Below are 22,967 nucleotides of genomic sequence, written 5' to 3' on the forward strand. Positions count from 1 at the left end.
TTACTCTTGTTGATGCGGCTTTTTTCCCTCTTCTCCAAATTAAAAATAATTTAGCTTTAACAATAAGAATATGCACAAACATAATGCTGCATCTCTTTAAGCAACTAACTTTAGGCAATTAAATTAAATTAAAGCAAAAATATACAAAGGAAGACAGGGAATTATTCAATTTAGTATTGTTAATTTTATTAACATAGCTCTGTCTTATTTTGTGCAAAGTATTGAATAACATGGTTTTCACTCTTTCCTCCATATTGCTGTTTTGTAAAAGCAGACTAGAAATTATTTAATTTAACATTTTCATGATACCCTGGAACCAACTTTTAGAACTGATTTTCCTGCAATAAATAGTACTTCAGAGACAACCAAAGGTTAATGGAATAAAAGAAAAAGCTTTTCAGAAGGGAGTAAATGATGACATCTATTTTACCTTGAAACAGGTTAATCTCATCTAGACCCACTGCATTTTAAAATCACATTAAATAATATTGAACTCTGTCACATTCGAAGTAAAATATGATTTAAATATACCTGTCACTACCTTAGAAAGGCTATGCTGGAAGTATGAAGTTGCACAAACAAATTCAAAAACACATTCCACATCAACTTTCAATCCCTACATTTTACGTTCATACATTTAGAATTAAAGATGAAAATCCCTTTAGGTACCAGATGCTGCAGATCAACTGGGAGAGCTTCTAGAGTTTTAATGTGCTGGAAGGCAAATCCTCGGCAAAGGCGCTTTGCCCGGCCGGTGTGGTGCTCTTATTACTTCACCTGCAAACGGTTGCTCTCAGAAAATCGGACCTAATGATCAGCCTAGCATCTCTGCAATAAAGAGACCATAATCTGTGGGGGAAGTGTACTCTAATCAGGCCACATGCAGATTAAACTAACTGGGAGGAATAAAAACTAGATTAAAATGTTCATGCCTAATACCAGAAGATTATCAGGACATTTTACTTCTTTAAATCCTAATTTATAGGAGCCAGGGTTAAGTTTGAGTTTTTATTTGGTGAGATCACATACTGCAGTTGATTTTCCTCTGTTTAGAAAAGACTTGGCTAGAAAGTATTTTGCTTAGCACAATACAGAGGCATCTGAGTGAAGGGAATGGTTTCAAATGTACTGATATACATCTTATGACAAGTAAAATGAAGCCACCCTGTTGAAACTGGTCAAGGTAGTAAATAATGGAAATTATTCTTGCTTTAATGGTAATATTGCTGTATCAGTGTGTATATATGAAATAGTTTTGTGATAACTGTGTGTGTGTGTGCATAAAATGGAATCTGATTCTTATATTTTGAAACTTTCTGAACAAGACTTGATATGCTAGAAGTGCCTACCCACTACTGTTAGTTGAGCAAATTGCAGCAAATAATTACCTGTAATTCAAATTTAATCTAAGCACATGACCATTCATGTGAAGATATTTAGTAGTACCACCTTGGCAGATCATTAGTAATACCACCACATTAAAATAATCTTTTTCTAAAGCAATAAGAAGAACAAATTATTATGTCAATCAACAGAATATATTTTCTTTTACCAGTTCTACAACTCTTACTAAATTGGCATGCCTTGACTTACCACCTGTGAGGCCAGACAATGTGTAGCAGTCTTTGCTGATTATCAACTCCACCCAAAATGTCACAGGGATCAACAGTCAGATTTTGTTTATTTTCACCATGATGAGAGCTTGAATTATCTGACGAGGTGGATTTTTTCAAGTCTGATTCCTGTCTTAATGAGTTACCCAAATATTCTTGTCGTGCAGTATCAAGGCCACAGTGTGTATCACACTCTGAATTAAAATTCTTCAATAAATCCTCTGAATCTCTCTGCTCTGGCTGAAAAGGAAGGGCCATGGACAGAACCGCACCGCCATTTCCTTTAAGGCCGAGCATCTTCTTTAAATGGGTTGTTTTGTGCTTGGGCATGAATCTGTTACAAAAAAAGAATGCAATATACTTTTAGTGGAAAAAAATATGTAAAATTTGTCCTTTACCTTCCTGTAAGTACATAATGATTATATATAAAACTGAGAAAAAATAAAGATGTTATACAAAAATTCCAGAAAAAGTGTAAAAAGTAGTAGCCACTAAGAGAAGTTCAAAAGTTTGAAATTGGACTGGGCTGTCTTTGAATAGTTTCCAAAGAGTTTCTATGGCTATAAAACTTGCACTGCACATACCATAAAACATAAGATTACAGAGATGGTTTATCACTCTTCCCTCACTCATCCTTCTGGATTTCCATTTTGTGTTTTCCAATCACCACATGGCCCAGTGCTTATTTTCAGGCCATACTTGTTCATTAACCTACAAAAATGTTTGAAACTTCCTTGATTAACACTGGTCATTTCTGCTCATGACTGTTCTGTATTCCTGGGCATCTGAATATACTTTGTATTAAATTGACTTGGCTAATGTTTCCTGAAGTATATTTTAATATCTTTTTTATTATCATTTCTCTCCTATCTTTCCAGGACACTTTATCACAAAGAGTTCAATGTCTGTTACTTATCGATAGAGAATCAAAATAAAATGAAACCTTAAAAAATTATAGCTTAAAACCTGTAAGCCACATAATACAAATAGAGGGGCTATCCTCAAGGAGCTCACCGTCTATTGGAAAGCAAACCATTAGTGCTTAGAGAAGAGTAGGAGACAGACACAAGAACAGCCAACTAACCTACGCTGGAACATACTATACATACAATGGCCATTCCAGTTTTTTTTTAATGGAGGGGAAGAGATTAATGCTGACTTGGGGCTCAATAAAGGCTTAAAGAAGGCTTTAGGTAAAGCATTTTGCAAGACAGAGTCAGGGAAGCTCTGGAGTCAGAGAATATGAGATCAAAGGAAAAAGGGGTGAAGAAATACAACTCCTCAGGAAATAACATGCAACCCAAAGAGACTGGGATGCAGGTCTGGATGTAAGGTCTAGAGGGGTAGACTGGGCCAGACTACCAAGTCCTTTCTCAGAGTTCCTGAGCCCCATCCAGAAACTTGGCCTCCCTGAATTGTTGTGTAGGGGAAGAAATGGGTTTCAGAGGTAGGTGAAAAAGAAAAACCATGGAAGGAGAGCAGAAGGGAACATCTGGAAGAGTAGGAAGAGAATCCAAGAGAGTAATATCACATTATTGAAATGAATCAAGAACCCTCAAAGAACGTGTAAAATGGGGCATAAAACACTGCAGAGGTGCTACAAAGCAGAAACAAGAAGCTTTTGGCCTTGTCACATCATAGGTCACTGGCTACTTCGACAGGCCACTCTCTGCTCCTGCTGAAAGAGTGGTGTGGGCAGAAATCAGACTGCAGGAGGCTAGGGTTTGTGTATGAAAGAGAGAGGCAGAGAAAAGGAGGTAGAGAGAAGGGAGGGGAAGGCAAGGTTGGACTTTTAAAAATGAGGCACATGGGCACAGTGTTATTCACTTGGGAATACTTGCTAGGGAAGGAAGCGGGATCCTGAAGAAACAGAAAAATCTTATAAGATGGAAGGAGAAAAACATTATAACATGGTGATCATAGTGTAGGGGAAAAGCAAGCAGGGTCTTGTAAAGATAGTGAACCTCGCTTTCTTGCAAAGCTGAGGGAAAAAGAGAGAAATGAAGCTGAAAAAACAAAACAGCTTTAGGTGGCAGGTGTAGAATCTAAGGAGTTGCCTCATTAAAGCACTAGGTCAGTTCATCTATTTCAGTGAGGTGAACAGAGGTGGAGATAGGCTTTCAGAAACTCACTGAGGCCTCAGGACAGTCACTGTGGAGACAGGGAGAGGGCGTTAAATAGGGCTGAAAGCAAGGGCTGATAGGCAACACTAAGAAACAATGGAGGAGTCACAGGAGCTAGAAACAAGGTCTTTGGCTGTAGGACCCTATGTACATTCCAGAACCAGAAAGCTTGTTTTGGGGGCTTCTATGTTTGTTTCATAAAGATCTTTAAATTTCTATTCTAATTTCAAATGCCTTGAGGAAACTCAAACAAATACATAAGAACTCCCCAAGTAATAAAGAGATGATTGTATACAGAAAGACAAAACACAAAGAATGGTACTAACCCCTTAAATATGCCCTAATAAAATAGTAAATTTAGTCCTTGATTTAAAATGGAAAGAAACCTGGGCATTTACAGACTATAGTTTCAAACTGCATAGGCCCCAAATTATGGTGGGAACCAATCAACTTCTTCTGGAAACAAATTCAAAATACTGAAGAGATTCTAGAAACTAAAACACAACATAAAAAATTGCCATTGATCACCAGAAAAGGTAAAAAAATAGAATGACTATGACACTATCTTCAATTCTCCTAAAGAAATGGAACAAATGGTAAGAGAAGGAACATCTGTACATATCTGGAGAACAATAAAGCAATTGAAGTAACCTATTTGTTTATGTCAGATAAAGAGTGCCAGGCAAGCTTAATAAGGATTTTAACAGAATCACAAACTTAGCTCATGAAGGATTCACCAAAAAAAAAAAAAAAAGAAAAAAAAAATCTATGGGATTCAAACAACATATTTTCATTTTAGAAAACAGTATCATGACCCATCTTACTCATAAAATTCATTTATATTGGCCAGCATGTGAGCAAAATTGCAAATTAAAAGAGATGGGAGATTGGCTAAAGGGTTGTAAACAACAGGAATTGGTAACTGACAAGGAATTTAGCTGTGGGCAAGGGTGTGAGGCCTACTTTTATTCAACACCTTCCCTAAATGTTCTCAAGGATGAATAGAATCCCATGTTAAGACAAGTTGCAGATGACTGACTTGATAGGTCATAGTGAATAGGGACATGGAAAGATGCAGAATATAAATAGGGGCAGCAATCAAAACAGCTTACAAATCTCACAAAATTGAAACAAATCAAAATAAACCTTGAATGGAGGTAGGGCACATAGAAAACACCATTTAGACCATGCTGAATTGGACAAGATGAGCAAGAGCTGATTTGATTCAGCGAACTGATGCCATTTAGTTCTGGATCTTGTTGTACAGGGAAGGAAGACACTAAGTCTGTCAGGATAGAACCCTGTGCAAATGCTGATGTCATCTGGGGCACCTGAGAACTGTATATGTTTGAAAATTAGAGAGTGTTTAGAAGAGCAATAATAATAATTAAGGCAATGGAAGAATTGATTTATGAGGACAGATTAAAGGAGCTAACTATGAATAGCCTGGTTAAGTGACAAACAGAAGGGTACATAATAAGAGTCTCTAAGGAAAAAGAATAATTATTTAGCTTGGTACAAGGGGGTATAACCAGGAGTAACGGGATGAAATTAAGAATGGGAAAATTTAAGCTGAATTTCAAGAAAAACTCCCTGACGGTGTAATTTATTAGCTCATGGAATCAATTCCCTATGGAAATGCTACAGCTAGGAAACCTTAATAATAGAACTGGACAAGCTACCAATAAATAATATAGATAACAATCCGGTACTTGAAAGAAGGTAGTTACAAGCTACGGTTTCCTTGTTTATAGTATCTTTTCAAATTTTTCTTATAATCTATTCATTATAGTGATTGTCACCAAAAGAAGTATTTAGGCAATTAGCCAAATCTAACAGGATATATCCTTTAGTTGGGGAAAGTTAAAAACACTTTAGTTTTCATACACTCTGTGGTAAGAATGAAGGCAGAAGCTGAAACACTTTTGTACTACTTTGTTACAATAAAGCTAGTCTTGAATTAGGCTGAACAAATGTATTAATAATACTAAAAACAAAACAAAACCAACCACATCCACCATCCCACACAATCTATTCTGATTCTGTGTCATGAAACTCATATTTTCATAGACATGTTTAATATAAACAATTTATTGCTATAATAGAAATCAAAAAAACTTTATTTCAGCTTTTCTAAATGTAGCTCTATGGTCAATTACTTCACATCAATACCAAGATCAAATAGGCATAATACTAACAAGCAGTTTGCTTAATAATAGTCACCACACTAATTAACCCATCCAGAACATTCTTAATCAGACACTATTTATAATGTACAGTTAAGAGAAGCCTGGCAATAAACTGTTCTATGCTAGTAAAAAAAAAAAAAAAAGGAAATAATACCTTACTGATGGGGTGAAACTGGCTTTTCTATAGAACTGGACAGAATGTTTGTGCTGTCCTGGCATTAATTCAATGACGTGACTATGCAAATAGGCACATGTCTGAACACTTCCTTTCTCTTTCCCAGTTCCAACTCTGGTGGAGGTGCTAATGAGAAGAGAAAAGGTCCCGAGGTAAGAAGTGAAAGAGAGAAAAGAAAGGGTCAGAAGAAAAACAGTAATCCACATATGTCAGGTTTCCCATTTAATAATTTCCCCATTTTTCTTAAGTAAATTCTACTGCCCATCTTACAGAATGCTTCTTCCTGTTTCCAAATCTCTTAGAAACTCCATCAGAACCTATTTCTAACTTTAGAAATATTCGGATTGCCATAATCATTTCCAATCTGTTATTAGCCATGGGATCTCCACCCCCAACTCCTTTCCAACCAATAGCCAATATGTGAAACAGAAACAGAGCCCCTCTCCTGCTGCCCATCCCCTCAGACTCCTTTCCTTCCCACCTCTGTCCGCCAGTATGGTTCCAGAAGCATTGCCACAAAACCCCAGTACTATGTTGGGCAATGTTTAAAGACACAGCTGGAACAAGCACTTTCTAGATCTAAATGTATACCCCTCACCACAGTCCCCATGTCCAAACACAAACCTAAGATCGACCTGTAGGAATAACCAAAGGCCTTTGCCTTTTTCATATCAGCCGGGAAAAGACTAGATTTGAGAGCAGTTTTAAATGCCACTAAGATTGATGGTAAGCAAAAGAAGTGCTCTGGGCACCTTAGCTTATTTCTGCTATAGTCGAGAGGCTAGAGTACTTGCAGTTGACTCACAGAGGTAGTCAGAAGGCAGGCAATAAGGTTAACACAAAACAAGTCAACTTTGGACATTCATGTTGATTCATGTGCCGTTGAATAGAATATCATGGCTGAAACACATGCCATGGTGGAATACACTCCTCACAACTGTCTTTTTGAGAGATTTTAATAAAAAGTACTTACTATGGTAAGTTCAACCTACAGAATCTCATAAATAAATGCCCAAGGGTAAAAGTCCATATGACAGAGATTATTAGTCATCCTGTTTCTCAAAACACATTTGGAAGATAGCAGGTGAAAATTAATTAATTAGTGTATGATTAAAGAGAAAGAGAGAGCGTGTATAACTGATACAAGATTATTCCATATTTGAGCCAGTGAAGAGATATGAGGGTGTTAGTAAGTGGAATAAGGAAACTGGCCTACATATGGGGCAGACAAGGAGAGAGGGAGTTGATGAAGTTCAGCGTGTCTCACATTCTAGCTCGGGTTTGGGGGAGGGAGGAGTAGTAGAGCCACAGCGTTGTATCCCTCAGGCTGGTGTTTCACAGGTGTGTTTTGTGCAACACTGATTCCATGGGACACATGTAGATGTTGCACCAGAGATGGTTTTGTGGGAAAACAAGTTTGGAAAATGCTAAGTTAAATAAAGTTAAACATTTCTTTACTATTAACTTCCCAAAGTACATGTTACTATATATTATAAATATGTTCATTCATTAACTCATTCATTCAGTAAGTACCTATTGAGTACCTAATATGTGATGGGGATGTGATAATTGTTTCCCAAGCTTACTGGAGTAAGAAACCTGTCCACCTCCTCCTCACCTACCCCTGCAGGACACAGCTTAAGAATTAATGGTCAACAAAGGATACTCTGGGAAATACTACTTGAGGCCCTAGGAGGTGCACAGCCAGAGTCTGAGAAGCATGGGGCAGCCAGATGGGCGGTGGCATATTTTATATAATAGAGATTGCAAAAAGAATGAGAAATACATTTATGTGGGAAAATGATGAAATCCAAACTTGAAGCCATACACCAATGTGACATATCAGTAGACAAAAGGACGTCTAAAAGAAAGCAGGAGAATCAGTGAAAAAGTGACAGAAGATATGGTTCAAGGCTAATATGGATGACAGCAGAAAAAATATCAACAGTTTTTATCAAAATGATTTCTGTAGATCCCTGGATAGAAACCAAATTGAGGAGAAGGAAAATAGAAATTAAAATAAATAAGTTTTCCAAAACTAATTGGGAAGGCACATTGAGGCAGTTCAGCGATCTAAGGCCTTGGGTGATTTACAACAAAAACTATTCCTTGTTGCCAAACAATGTGGTGGAAATTAATTATAAAATTAACATTTTTAGAATCTAGCCACATAAGCAAATATCAAAGATAATTAAAAAATCATGCTACCCTACATGTGTCCAATATATCACTTATATGATGAGCAGATTTATATAACCTGTAAAGTATAAAAGTAAAAATTTTGATATGGCATTCTCATGCGTACACAGACACCCCCATTCCTCCGTCACACTATCTTCACTAAATAATGGAATCAAAAGCAAGGAAACCCATCCCAATTTAAAATGAGATGTTTGGAGACCACAACATTAAACAGAAAGACACACTTATCCTTGGCTGGTCGGCTGCAGTATGGCTGCATGCTCTTCTTTACCGGTAATGGCTAACAGCTAATATTCATAAAATAGGTGGCACATGTCTATGAAGGATGTTTCAGTAAGGAACTCTGGCAGAACATTATTTAAATAAACTTGAATCACAGATGAGCCAATCATGATGCACACTGCACAAATGCTCTGGGGGAATACCCGCTAGCCCAACCGTGGCTGTGAGGCTATGTTGTTAAGTATTCAATGCTTGATGCCTGAAATTTTGCTTCTCATGGTACAAACTTTTAAAGCCAACATGAAATACAGCATTCTGTGAGAGGATACTGAGCAAGACTGTCTTGCTTGAACTATGAGGAATCTGCGATAAGATAGGAAAAACAGGATCCACAGAGACTAGCTATAAGTCAAAATTAACAAGCAAACCCTACTTATTGGCCTGAGTAATACATGCTGAAATGGAAAGAAAATTTCTAGTTATCAGACTGACCTCATTAGCCATGTCTGGTCCCAGGGATATGACACTCAGCAAAGACAGCATCTTCCATTGAAAAGAGAATCTTCCATTGTTAAAAAGAGAAGCTTTAGCTTTCTCTTCTCTGCTTTAAAAGGTGCATCATTTCCTGATGTCTGTCCTTTCAATAGCTGGGATATATATGGGCTGTTATAAGGAAAAGATGGTTCTATTTCCAGCAGCCTATTCTTTTATATTTTTATTTCCCACTACCATTTCTATGAGTCATTTCTGAAAATCTAACACTTTCCAGATAACCTTATTTATACCATTTGCTTATATGGCCTCTTCTGGCAACACCACTTATGTGATTAGCATTATTTAACTTAAATAATTATGCCTAAATTCCCCATTCTCTTTTAATTTCAAAGTGTTTAGATTGTATACATTGCTAATTTAACTGCCTACTAGTATGAGCAGTTTGTCTTATTCAATTTTATAAAATCCCTTTAGGATATATTCCTCCCACGCAGAAAATTTAAGGTCCTTATGAATGTATGAGAATAAGAAAAGCTACCTTACATGTTGCCAGAACAAATGTTTATCAAACCCAGAGCCATCCTTGCTAACATATGTACACTCACTTCTCACGATCCCCACTCCCCCCTAAAAAGAGCTCTCTAAGAACAACAACAAAACTCTCTCGTTTACACAAGGTTTACTCTAGTAATTCAACACAGTTTGGCAGAGCCCTAGGCTAAACTGAAAACAGGAAATCTTTATTTTCCTACCTCCACTTTAAAGCATTCTCTGCCCACTGGTGGTCAATTTCCTAAGGTCTTTATACTACTTTCTCAGTGCCCAGGTAACTCCCCATACCCACCCTCCCCTCACCCACCACTGCCACTATGGGTCTCCTTGCAGCCTACCTTGAAACTATGTCCCATTTTGGATCCAGCTCTGAATCATGCTGGGCTCTCTGTTATTGGTCTTGTTGGAAACTAATCTTAAATTGTTACAATGCACTCATCATATTTTGTGCTCAATGCATTATACCTTTCAACAGAGGCAATACCTTAATTCAATGGAAGTAATCACAAATGGGGTATGTTCAGGTACCACAGTAAGCCTGTGAAGAAGATTATTTTGGGGGACAGGTAAAGAAATCTCTGTGAAGCACCTCAAGTTACTCCACTCAAGCAACAGGTTATGTTGAAGTGGTGAGAATCCAGGCTGTGTTGGTACAGAGACTGTACTGGCACTTCCTCAATTTTGGAGTTTATTCAAATCAGTTAATTTCTCTGAACCTCAGTTTTCTAATCTGTAAAATAGGATAGTAATATCTGTGCTTGTAAATTTCTTGAGAGCATTAAAAAGGAGAACATGTGTCGGGCGTGACGTGTAGTAGGAGCTGACTAAATCTAAGTAAACTTGCCATTCCTTGCTCCCCTACATGATGTCCATATTTAAGCCACGTTGAGTAACACTACATTCCCTAGTCAGTCAGTGAACGATTCACTGTGTTGACTCAGTTAGCAAATATTCATTCAAAAAATATTTAAGATCCTTCTATGTGCAAGAGGTTGTATCTGCACAATGAAGCTTTCAGTACGTATAGTGACATTTCATACATACTGATTTTGGTCTGTTAACCCCCCAAATTGTAAATTACCCATATAATCTTTAAACTAAACTGTGTTTACTAAAGTATGTTATCTCTATCACTCAAATGACCTAACTTTTTTCAAACTTAATAATTTGTTCATCATTTTTTCAATTTGAAACTCAGAAGCCAAGTTTCAAAAGCTTCTATTTATTCACCTCACTTAATATGATGATAGTATAGGACAATAAAATATTTTCCCAATATGGATCAGAAGTTATCTCTTCCAAGCAAGAGGAAATAGCTGTTTCCCACGTACATTTGCTCTTTCTGTGTAAGAATTTACCTTGTTCACAAGTGTTCTCATTACCTTTGGAATTAAATGTCTCCTATAGTATCAATAAAGCATTGATGGAAACCCTAAAAATGGTCTCTAATCATGTGTTCTATTCCAAGATATTTTAGGGGAAGCCATCATTTGCAGGTTGAAAATAGGATGGGAAAACGTACTGCTGTTGAAGAAAGGATTACTTTCTTCTTTCCAAACAAATATAAGAATTCCCCTAGGACAGTGTTTCCAATTACAGAGTCTCCTTTGGAATATGACATGATTTTACTGAATACTATGGCGGAAAAAGGGCAATGGGACAACACTATGATGGGTCAAATTTCCTGAACAGAGTATCAGAAAAGTAACAGAGAAGGAGATACTATATTTATGTTGATAGTGACAAAAATATACTATTTTGAAAGATGAACAAGCTATCAAAACTGACGAGAAAATTTGGGGAATAAAAAGGAGAAAATGTATGTGAACTTTATTCTAAAGCCAAATGTTACTTTTTTTTTTTTGAGACAGAGTCTCACTCTGTCGCCAGGCTGGAGCACAGTGGCACGATCCCAGCTCACTGCAACTTCTGCCTCCCGGGTTCAAGCAATTCTCCTGCCTCAGCCTCCTGAGTAGCTGGGATTACAGGCATGCACCACCACGTCCAGCTAATTTTTGTATTTTTAGTAGAGACGGGGTTTCACCATGTTGGCCAGGATGGTCTCGATCTCTTGACCTTGTGATCCACCCACCTCGGCCTCCCAAAGTGCTGGGATTACAGGTGTGAGCCACTGTGCCTGGCCCAAATGTTACTTTTTAAAAAATTAAAATGAATAAAAAAATTTAAAGATTTGTGTTTCAGGAAAGGAGTTTTTCTTTAAAATTTGGTTGTGAATAAAGTCATTTAATTTTTCTAAACCTGAGTTTTCTCATCTGTACAGTAAGAATGAGGCTAGTCCTGGACTTCTCACAGAGGTAAGGATTAAGCATCTAATCAAGTCTAATGATTATCTTATTGTTATGAGGCAAAATGGCATAAAGGGGTCTAGGCATATTGACTGGTTGTAAATTAAGGGCTCTGTCACTTTTTAGCTGACCTGAGAAAAGTCTTTTCTATAAGAATCAATTATGTCATCTGTAAAATGGGGATAATAGTAACAATGCCTTGCAGAATTATGTTTCCATGTTGCTTGGCACATATTAAGAACTCAGTTATTACTGGCCATTATTTTTTATATTGATAATAGTGGTGAAGGTCATCATGGCATTTAATCGTTACTAGAGAAACATTCAACATTCTAAAAACTCTAGTCCAAGACTCCATTGGCCCTTTCATAATTGAGCCTATTTTATAAACTAGAGACCCATGCTTTCTTCAAGACATATTTTTCTTATTAGTTCTTATACTTTAGCCATCCACTTAAGGCAGGTACTTTTAATGTTATCTTCTTTTCTTTTGTATACTAATCAAAGAATTGTATTCACGCCTAGAGATACATTAACTGTAAAAAGGTCCAATGTTATTAATTAAATTAATATATTCCTCCATTTCTATTATGTCTTTCCTATGATACTGTTTTCCACCTTTTACTTTTCCTTGTCTTTACTTATATTCCTTCATTTTTCTGAGAGATTCTGTCATTTTCCTTCTTAAAACTGCATAAACCAGGAAAATAAAACCAGGAAATTTAAAACTTCAGTTTCCAGATCTCTGAAGCATGAACAGATGGACATAAAAAATCTAGTCTTTTTTTCTTTTTCATTTGCCTATCCACAACCTGAATATATCAAAATTACCAGCAAAGCCAACTTTCAACATAACCACTTTTTTTTTTCTTTTGGCTCCCATATTAAATGTTCGGACAGTAAGTATTGATTCAATTCAAATTGATTATATTGCTATCTAATTTTTAAGCCACAGAAACTGACCTCATCCAGAATTAATATTGGAAGACATAATTTTGTTAATTTTACATTTGAAATAAAACCTGTAAGTATACAAAATGAGGTATAAACACTTCTACTTACTTCAGCTTTTCTACACATTTTAGTATTTCTTAGTTCAGAAAAAGGGAGTAAAAATAAAACAGATGGATAAATTTGAAATATCTGACTTGCTGGGCCATTACTCATTACTACAATATAAGCAAGGCTTGAAGGCAAAGACAGCAAATACTCAGTGAAAACACTGAGTGAAAAAGGTTCAGAGAAAGAAACAGTCATTCCTCATTCAACAAAAATTAGAGTGCCTATTATGTGCCAGGTAAATTAGCTAAGATGTCCTCATGGAACATATAATGTGGTAGGTGCTTCAATCAGGAAAGAATTAGGTGATACAAGATGAGAACCCAGCCCTAGAAAGGGAGTTAGTGCCAGGGAAGGCTCTCTAGAGAAGCTGATCTTCAGCTGTGACCTCCATGATAACTACAAGTTAGCCAGGTATGGGAGCAAGAGCTGGGATGTGCTAAGAGTAACAGCATGTGCATAAAGCCCAGGGCAAGAGAGAATATGGTCCAGAGATAAAAATCAAAACATGGCCAGAGCATTGACTGGGCAGAGATAGATGGGAAGGTGTGGGGAGGGGAGGGACAAAAGATGAGGCCTGAAAAATAAGCAGGGAGAGGCCTTTCTGCCCTTAATGACACAAGTGAGGGGTCAGATTGGGTCTGAATAAACATTCCAGATACGGCTTGAATGGACTGGGGCAAACATGCTAGAGCAAACACCAATGTTCAATCCTCCCTTGCCTTTTCAATTCCTACTAAAATAATGGTAGGGAATTTATTTAAAAGGCATAGGCATACAAGGATAAAATGAAAAACTGGGAAGGACTGCAATGGAAAAGAATGTGAACCAAATTTCAGAAGATGGAAAGCAGATGGATGAGCGGTGGTTGAGCAGAGAGGGGGAGGCAGAATGTGTCCATAAGCATGCAGGTGTGTGTGTGTGTGTGTGTGTGTGTGTGTGTGTGTGTGTGTGTGTGTATGTAGTTTTAGACAAGAAGAAGGTTGCGTGTTCCACAGAAACTCGGAAAGGCTCAGGAATTTATCAGTCCAGGTTCCTCTATATAGAGGTACACTTGTGGAGCGAAACTGAAAACAGAAGAATTGATAGTGATTTTACATAGAGAGAAATCAACCCCCTTGATAACTTCTCTAAGCCTATGCAGCTCCCACTTCAACACCAGAAAGGATGCTTCCTAACTTGAGGGGTTAAACCAGAGACCAGGGGAGGCCAAAGGCAAGGGTGAGTGAAGTGAAAGTACACCCATTCATTGGTGATGTTTCTCCAGAACCTTTCACCTATTTGGCTCCCAGAGAGCTGGAGATTCACCTTCTAGGAAATTATAAGAGCCTTTCTCTGGAAACTAACTAAACTGACTTAGTGAAACTGAAATGTGGGGATGCCACAACAAAATAATTGAATTTGTTTGTTCATTCCATGAGAAAGGTCACCAGTCAACAAGCGCTGTCTCTGAACAGAGAACTTCTAATCATCCGTCGCAGTTCTTGCTCTCTGATATGAATGGACAGCCAGGAACCAGCAGACATTTGAGGAAAACTCGTAACATGAAATAAACAAGACAAAGCATAAGAAAGGAACTTGTGATATGCAAGTGCTGGAAAGGGAAGAGCATGGTCCCTTTAAATGATAGGGAATGGGGGAAGGGAAGTGCTGGGTAGGGGAGGGTGGGGTCCCTGGCTAGGGCTCCACCCCCATGGACCTAGGTGAAGACAGGCATTTCCTGCCTAAATGCTGCATTTCCCAAGACACCCTGGCCTGCCACGCCCCTATCCTGGGCCTATAAAAACCCTGAGACCCCAGCAGGCAGACACACAGGCGGCTGAATATTGAAAGAAGCACATCAGGGGAGGAACACACGGGTGGCTGGACATCCAGAGGAATGTACTGACAGGCACTGGGTATGATCCGATTCTTCCGGTACACCAAGGAAAGAACCCAGGATACAGAAAACCCTCTGTCCTTGTGACAAGGTAGAGGTTTAATTGAGCTGGTTAAAACAAGGCACCTATAGACAGCAAAACTAAAAGAGCACCCTGTAACACATGCCCATTGGGGCTTCAGCTGTAAACATTCATGCCTAGATACTGCCATGGGGTCAGACCCCCACAGTCTCCCTGTCTGTATGCTCCCCTAGAGGTTTGAGCAGTGGGGCGCTGAAGCAGCAAGTCACACCCCCATCACACACCCTGGGAGGGGAACAAGGGAACTTTTCCTGTTTCACTTGGAAGAAACTGAGACAATGTAGAGAACAGGAAAAAACTTAAAAAAAAACCTATAAGAAATATTCACATTGATAATTGCATCCATGGCAGAAAAGACAAATGCAGTAAGAAAGGACATCCAAGAACAATAAAGAGTGCTTGCAATTAAAAATATAACTAAAAAAAAAATAAATAAATAATCGATGGAAGGGCTGAATGATAAAGTGGAGAAAATCTTGTAGAAAGCAGAACAAAAACAAAAACAAAAATAAGGAGGATGGGAAAAGAGATAAAATAAGGTCAATTTAGGAGTTGAAGAAAGTGAACACCGAGAAAATAGTGTGGGAAGAAAATCAAAGAAAAAAATATAAGAAATTTATTTGTACTGATGTATTGAGTTCCTAGAATAATAAAGGAACCAAAATTCAATCCAAGTAGAATCATTATAGAATTTCAGAATACCAGAGGTAAACCAGAAAGTCCTAATACCTTTCAGGTGAGAGAGCAAGGGAAGTCACATGCAAGGAGTCAGAAAAGTCTAAAAAGCAGAAAACAATGGAACATGACCTCAAGCTTTTGAAATAAATGATTTTTAAATAAGAGTTCAATACTTGGTCCAATATCAATCAAATGTGAGGTAGGCTAGAGGCATTTTCAGGCAATCAAGTCTCTTACGTACCCTTTTTCTTGAGAAGATACTGGTGGATGTGCTCCCTATAAGAAAAAAGTAAACCAAGGAAGAGAAAGACACAGAATCCAGGACATAGTTGACCCAAGGGCCCAAAGAGCAAATAGAACAAACGGGAGCAAGAGAATTGAGGCCTCCAGGAAGGTAGCATCCAAGAAAAAAATGGAAATGATAGGTTTCCTAATGTGGCCAACACTGAGCAGATGAATTAGTGACAGTGACAGAGCTTGAGAATGGATTTGTTGATAGTGACACAGAAACTAAGCAAATAAACCCAATGTAATAATTAGCTCCAGGAAAAAATGAAGAGTTATTTGGGAAAGGAAATCTAATCATAGAACACAATGAGGCTCAGCAGGGAACACTTTTTACATAGTAATAATGCTGTAAACACAGAATATTTATTTAACCAAAAGTTGAGATATACTCATATTGGAAAAATAGGGTGAGGGAAAATGTGCGTGTGCGTCCATGCTTATAAAAGAGAGCTAACACAATCATTTCCAAAGGCAGGAAAGTCAACAGATCTCTCACATTTAAAAAAAAATCAAGAAATAGCAAGATAAGAAATTACTACAATTTTGTCAGAGTGTAGCCTCTGAGGAAGGTATGGGGCAGGGGGGTAGGGAGGACTGAGGAAGAAGATTTTGCTTTTTATTATAAACCTTTTGTTGTACTCTCTCATGTTTTAAAACTAAATACATGAATTATCTTGGGGATTCATTATTTTTGTAATCTCTGGAAATATTGTGCAAAAATCTCTCTGAATATTGCCTCTTAAAATTTTTTCTAATTTTTCCATCTGGAACTCCTATTAGACATATGTTGGATTCTCATCTTTTAAGATCTTAATATCTCTTTCCTATTTTCTTTTTTTTTAATTTGTATATATATATGATGGGGTCTTACTCTGTTGCCCGGGCTGGAGTGCAGTGGTATGATCACAGCTCAATGAAGCCTCCAATTTCTAGGCACAAGCAATTCTCTCACCTCAGTCTCCCAAGTAGCTGGGACTGCAGATTCATGCCACTATGCCCAACATCTTTCCTATTTTCAATTTCTTTCTCCATTTTGCTACATTCTTTTAAGTTTTTACTATCTAGCTTCTAGGTTGCCAATTCTCATTCTATCTCTCTCTCTCTCTCTCTTTTTTTTTTTTTTTTTTTTTTGAGATGTAGTCTTGCTCTGTCGCCACGCTGGAGTGCAGTGGCACGATCTCGGCTCATTGCAACTTCCGCCTCCCAGGTATAAGCAATTCTCCTGCCTCAGCCTCCCAAGTAGCTGGGACTACAGACGCACGCCACTGCGTCCAGCTAATTTTTTTATTTTTAGTAGAAACGGGATTTCACCATGTTGGCCACGATGGTCTTGATCTCCTGACCTTGTGATCTGCCCTCCTCGGCCTCCCAAAGTGTTGGGATTACAGGCATGAGAATGTAATCCTCTCTTTATCAATTCTCTCTTTATCAATGTGTAATACTTAGCATGTCCACTGAGTTAATTTTGATAAATATATAAAAATCCTATTTAGTCCTTCAAAAAATATGCATTTTTTATGGTCTATTTTTTATTTCTCATGTTTTCAATTTATTTCTTATACCATTATTTTAAAACCTACTTTATCTTCTCTATCCAGAAGTCCTAGTATCTGAAGTTCGTGAGAATCTAATCCTATAGGAAGTTGTTAGAGCCAGTTTCTGACCTGCTAAAAGTCAGAAACTTTTGGACTAGAAAATGGATAGGACACATCAGAACAGAAGGTTTTGTGAATAGGTGAGGAAGGTGACAAGTTCACTTTTAGGCATTACTCAGCATGACTTGGAAGAGCTATTGATGCACCAAAGTGAGCCAATGGAAAGAGGTTTGAATCCAGGTTTTATTCTTCCTTAAAAAGGAAAAAAAAAGAAAAGAAAAGAAGTAGTTTTCTAAAGTCTAAGATATTTACTTAAGCTCTTAGGCAACCTGAGGTATTTACAGAGTGCCCATGCAAACTCAAATCTCTGCTCTTATGGGAAAAATAATTAGAAGAAAAATCAGACCTTTTAACATTCTATGGCCAAATTCCCCTCTTCTGAGCTTTAAAAAAATTTTGCACATTGGTTGTTTACAGATCACAACAATCCATGGTCTTCTTTCAGAATATAGTGAACATTATTGTGAGGTTCAACATTATTTGCAGAAGAGTTTTTTACTTTCCACCTTGAAATATTTTTTCTTTGAAAAGTAAGTTCATGAAAATGGGCAAATACTCTCAGTAGAGACTTAATATGAATTCAGAGTTTGTGTTAATATTATTGTGGGTCATAGCCACAAAGATGCACAAACATCTCTATAAATACTAAAACAGATATAAATGAAAACTGTATACCTTTAATCATATAATAAATATTCTAGAAAAGGTATTATTCAATGGAGTTCTCATAGAAAATAAAAAAAAATTTCTTGTAACTGAAAAAGGTAATTATTCCATTATTTAGATGTATTGAGAGTCTGCATGGGCTATCTTAAAGTATAGTGTATATCATCTGAACTGTCAATACATGCTGTACTTTATACACATTTAACACTTCAGTAATGTATGCCAGGGTATAACTGAGTCCTCATAGTGTCAAAAGCCAGATTATTCTAGAACTAGATATTAGTTTGGGAATACAGACAGCAAATGGCCAGATGGCCCTGCAGTAAACTGCTGAAGGCCATTTAAAACCAATCCATGTGTAGATGTATTCCAACAGAGAATTATGGGCAACAAATCAATGAGATACCAAAAATTGTGTTACAATATCTTTGTTAAGCCAGAAATAACATTCCAATTTTATAGGACTCGAATTAAAACAAATCTTATTCTTTACTTCCCTGTGGTAAATAAATGAGCAAAATCAACTCTGTTGTCTAGCAGGTTTATGGCCCACAGTACATGCTCGCTATACAGTTGCTGAATGAATGAATGCCTTGGTATGATGAAGTGGAAAAGGTTATGTATACACTATTCTATGCTTTTCTGGGTCCTGGATGCTTCTGTATACTGCTGTGTGGTTTGGGAGTTTGAGTATGTTTTATTTAGGTGGTTTGCATATGTGAAGTGGAAAGAGGTAAGGTTGGTTGAAGGGTAATTATTTCTTGATGGAAGAATATAAAAAGTATAAACAGATCAGCTATTGCTTAAGCAAACTCAGCTCTTCATTCCTGATCTACAATGCAAATGGTATACAAAATAAGGTTTCATTAAAGAGTGACTGTCACATCAACAGGGAAGAGAATGAAGACCTGCTATGCAGTATTATTAGATATATTGAATTTGTTGTCACTAAGATCAACAAAATACTGCTTTGAAGGACTACACACTGTGACACAGAAATAGCTTTGCTACATAGAACACTCCTTTGATATAATTTTTTTTCATTTTATTGTAATGGGGTTATACTTCTAGAAGAAATGAATATCAATTTATTGATGACTTGGACTACTATTTAAAAAGTAATATGCCAATTAGAAAGCATCTGTGATAACTAACAATCTATTTTGAAAGAAAAAAATTAGAATCCTTCTATCACATGATATCCCCATCACACGAAATAACTCCATTATCGTAGGATGTGGAATGGGACTTTTCCTATCATCCTGGCATTTCAGCTGAGGCTCTAATGCTGAGGATTAATACCTGCAAACGCTAAACAGAGGTGCTAGGCACACCTCTGCAGGACTTGCTAAAGACAGAAATATTATCTGTAAAATACTCTTACCCCATCACTCTCTAACAGCCTATATAAGAAAAGGGTAGAGACTGGGATATCTGCCAGGAGAGGGGCTGGCATCTCTTTCCCCAAGCTGGATGGCTGCCAAACAGCCAAAACTCAACACCTGCCTCCTTCTACTCCTAGTACAGAGCACAGAATTCTTGGGAGAACCTACTGCATGCCCCCTAAAATATGGGGCATAGATCATGGTGATGGCCCTGATTTGAGATTCTGAAGGTAGGATACTGACCAAAGTTGTCAACATGGCAGGTCAAGGAGAAAGGCAAGCAATGGAAGTAGTGTCTATTTTTACCGTTTGTAAGGAAGAAGATGCCTGATGTGTTTTCCTGTGGGCCTAGTGGTGCGGGGAGGGAGCTAGGCTTACACAGTATTGAAAGGACTATGCTTAAGAAGACTGGGCCTGTAGGGCAAGGTACATGCAAGTAGGGTATGACCTGAGAATAGGAGGTGATTAGAAGTCACCCAGATACGGTCTTATCCATGACAGGTGTACTACCTCTGTGTATGAGGTCTCCACAGGTATGTCTCAAAAGAACATAACTAAGTGCCACACAAAAGACCCAACCACAGGCATCTGACACCTAAGAGAGGCCCTCAAACAGTACCAGCTATGTAACTAGCGTACTCCCCTTTTCTCTCATCCCTCCTCCCAGTCCAGTCCCTACTTCAGGAGCCTGAAGGAGAGGGGAGAAGGCATGAACAGATGTATAAGTAACCGGTCTATTGAACAGGTTGGACTTTATAGGGTATAATGAGGGAGTCGTTTTAGTTTCCCTTCCACCATTGCCTTCAATCACATTCTCAGATCTTCTTCTTGTGGGTGACAACTTGGGAAGATACTATGGCTTTCTGGCTTGTGGCTAATTTCTTCTGGTACTGTTAGCATATTTTTCTCCTTCCTACATTATAATCTAGGGTTAGAAGAGGCCTTTTCAAACATGGTGCTAAAGGTAGAAACCACAAAAGAAAAGAACGGACTTGGTTGGGAGCGGTGGCTCACACCTGCAATCCCAGCACTTTGGGAGGCCGAGGCAGGTGAATCACCTGAGGTCAGGAGTTTGAGACCAGCCTGGCCAACATGGTGAAACCCCGTCTCTACTAAAAATACAAAAAATTAGCCAGGCATGGTGGCACATACCTGTAATCCCAGCTACTTGGCAGGCTGAAGCAGAAGAATCGCTTGAACCCAGGAGGTGGAGGTTGCAGTGAGCCGAGACTGCACCACTGCACTCCAGCCTGGGTGACAGAAATTCCATCTCAAAAATAAATAAATAAATAAAAAAGAATGGACTCATCTGTCATCTGTGTAAATAAAGTATCACAAATTTCATAAATACAACTGAAAGACAACCCACAAGACTGTAAGAAATATTTGTAACATATACAACAGAGTTAATCAGTTAATGCTTGGAAATCAGTGGGGGCTCACTGTCAGGTTCAATTAGTTCCCTCTACTAGATGACCTAGTAGCTGTGTGACTTCAGATGATTCACTTAACATCTCTGGGCTTCAGTTTCCTCTTCTACAAAGGGGGATTAATACCATTACTGACATTACTGGGTTGTGGGGAGGATTAAATAAGCTAATTTATGTAAAGCACTTAGCACAGCATCCAGGCAAGAATATGTACTCAAATAAACTTCAGCCTTTTATCCTCATTACCATCATCAAATTTCCAAGCGGCAAGTGATGGGTAGTAAAAATTGATTTGTAAGCATTCTTCCCCTATTTTGTCTGTATCAGCATAGTATTCCAGAATAAGCATGTGTTACTTTGGTAGGGAAAATACACAAACTATTTCAATTAAAAAATAAGAATAAAGTCATTTGTGATCCTCTGCCAACTTTACAAAGTAGAGAAAAGCAGCTGCAGTTTCTTACTTGGGCTAGAGATGATCCTCCTGTTCAGTTTGTTATACATAATGTCCCTGAGCTATTGGATAGGCAAGATGGTTCTCCTCCAATGGAGGCAAGAGCCATCTGGTCATTCATTGACAGAAATAAATATCTGATTACCAATTACGTTTCCACTGATCAGTATATATACACACAAGACAAGCAAAAGATATAAGGGCCTTAGAAAACAGTCACAGGAATAGAATCAAACATTTTGTATCACAGCATTATATTACGTTGTCACATCGGGTTTTACTTGTATATCATATCACCTCATTTACCCTAATGAAAAATTACTCCTCGGACTCAGGTTCCTTTACTGGCCTCACCATTCATTCTGGGCACAATTTTATAAAAATAAGGCAAATGGAAAGATACTGATGTCACTTGTCAGATGAAGCAAAACCACATGAGAGGCCCTGGCTCTGGTGCTCATTTAGGTTAGGTTGAAGTAAGAGGGAAGAAGTTCTGGGATGTATGTGTCACAGTATTTGAAATGGCTGCCTTCCGCAAACAAGCTCAATTTACAAGAGAAGCACACATAAGGTAGAGGAGGGTTTCAAGTTTTAAACTATGTTACTAAGTACACATTTGCTTCTAAACTTTAAAGCAGTGCTGAATTGCATTTGGATAGAGTTATAGCATTGCTTTAAACACACACGCACACCCAGAGACACACACCATGGAGGTAATCCAGTTACTCCTGCAGCACAGATGTGCACAAGAATGCTCTAAGTGATTAAGATAGGGCTTTAAAGTTAGTTAATTAGAAACATTTCTTTTTCTATGATCAACACTGATATCAGCTCGAGTTCTGGTTGGTGGAATTTAAATTTCAATCTAGATTTAAATGTTAAGATGCACTTTGGACTTGCTCTCGTGCTGTAGAATTGGCTTAGTGTGGGGGCCGTTAGTATCTAAACTCCTTCGACCACTTCTAACAGTTTTAAAAACAGAATTCTGTTTACCTCATATTATTAAACAGAGCTTCTTATAAATAGCACTTATCCTTCCTTGGAAGGAAGGATAACAAAAGTCATAAATGTAATATTATAAAACCTATTTTCATAGAAAAGAAATCATTTGTCATTAACAGAGCAACCACACCACTCTGCTCTGATTACTGGCATGATCCTTTCTAAAAAGAACATAGACTGTTGAGAGGGTAAAGTATAACAACGTATAGGAAAGTGTTCAGCATAGTGGTTGGCACAAATACTTGCTTAACAAAGTTTAGTGTTGCAAAATGAAGGTTATTGCCAGAGAAAGTGAACCTAGAGAGTTATAATAAACATGCACTTATTTTTACAAGTCCAAATTTTATTTTCACAAGACTTAAATATCAAACTCTCAACCTATAGATGTTATATTGGAAAAATATTTCTGCTATTGGAGATTTTTAAAGTTACAGTCACATTAAAGTCCCAAAGAACAAATGAGGCTGCTTCCTACTGGCCTTACATTCCTTAACCCAAGCCACATGCAAGAG

At 37.7% G+C, this 22,967-nt stretch overlaps 1 protein-coding gene across 67 annotated transcripts in view; it reads right to left on the bottom strand.

The window, feature by feature from the left end:
* QTMAN (queuosine-tRNA mannosyltransferase) overlaps nt 1–22,967 on the bottom strand; it is a 395,002-nt gene that overhangs the window by 67,521 nt on the left and 304,514 nt on the right. For 35 of the 67 annotated variants that reach the window (NR_164800.2, NR_164799.2, NR_164804.2 and 32 more), the window contains one exon: nt 1,594–1,947. The exons of 11 other annotated variants lie outside the window; for them this stretch is intronic. Coding sequence is in view for 46 of the 56 variants with exons in the window: in NM_001376320.2 (NP_001363249.1) it covers nt 1,594–1,947 (354 nt within the window). In the remaining 10 variants the exon portion in view is untranslated. Of the gene's footprint in view, nt 1–164; nt 1,948–6,079; nt 6,227–9,016; nt 9,038–22,967 lie in introns of those variants that run through there. 21 more of the 67 variants (NR_164809.2, NM_001376317.2, NM_001376306.2 and 18 more) reach the window with 4 other exon arrangements.

This window comes from Homo sapiens, chromosome 2 (genome assembly GCF_000001405.40).
Source record: "Homo sapiens chromosome 2, GRCh38.p14 Primary Assembly".
NCBI classification, from domain to species: domain Eukaryota; kingdom Metazoa; phylum Chordata; class Mammalia; order Primates; family Hominidae; genus Homo; species Homo sapiens.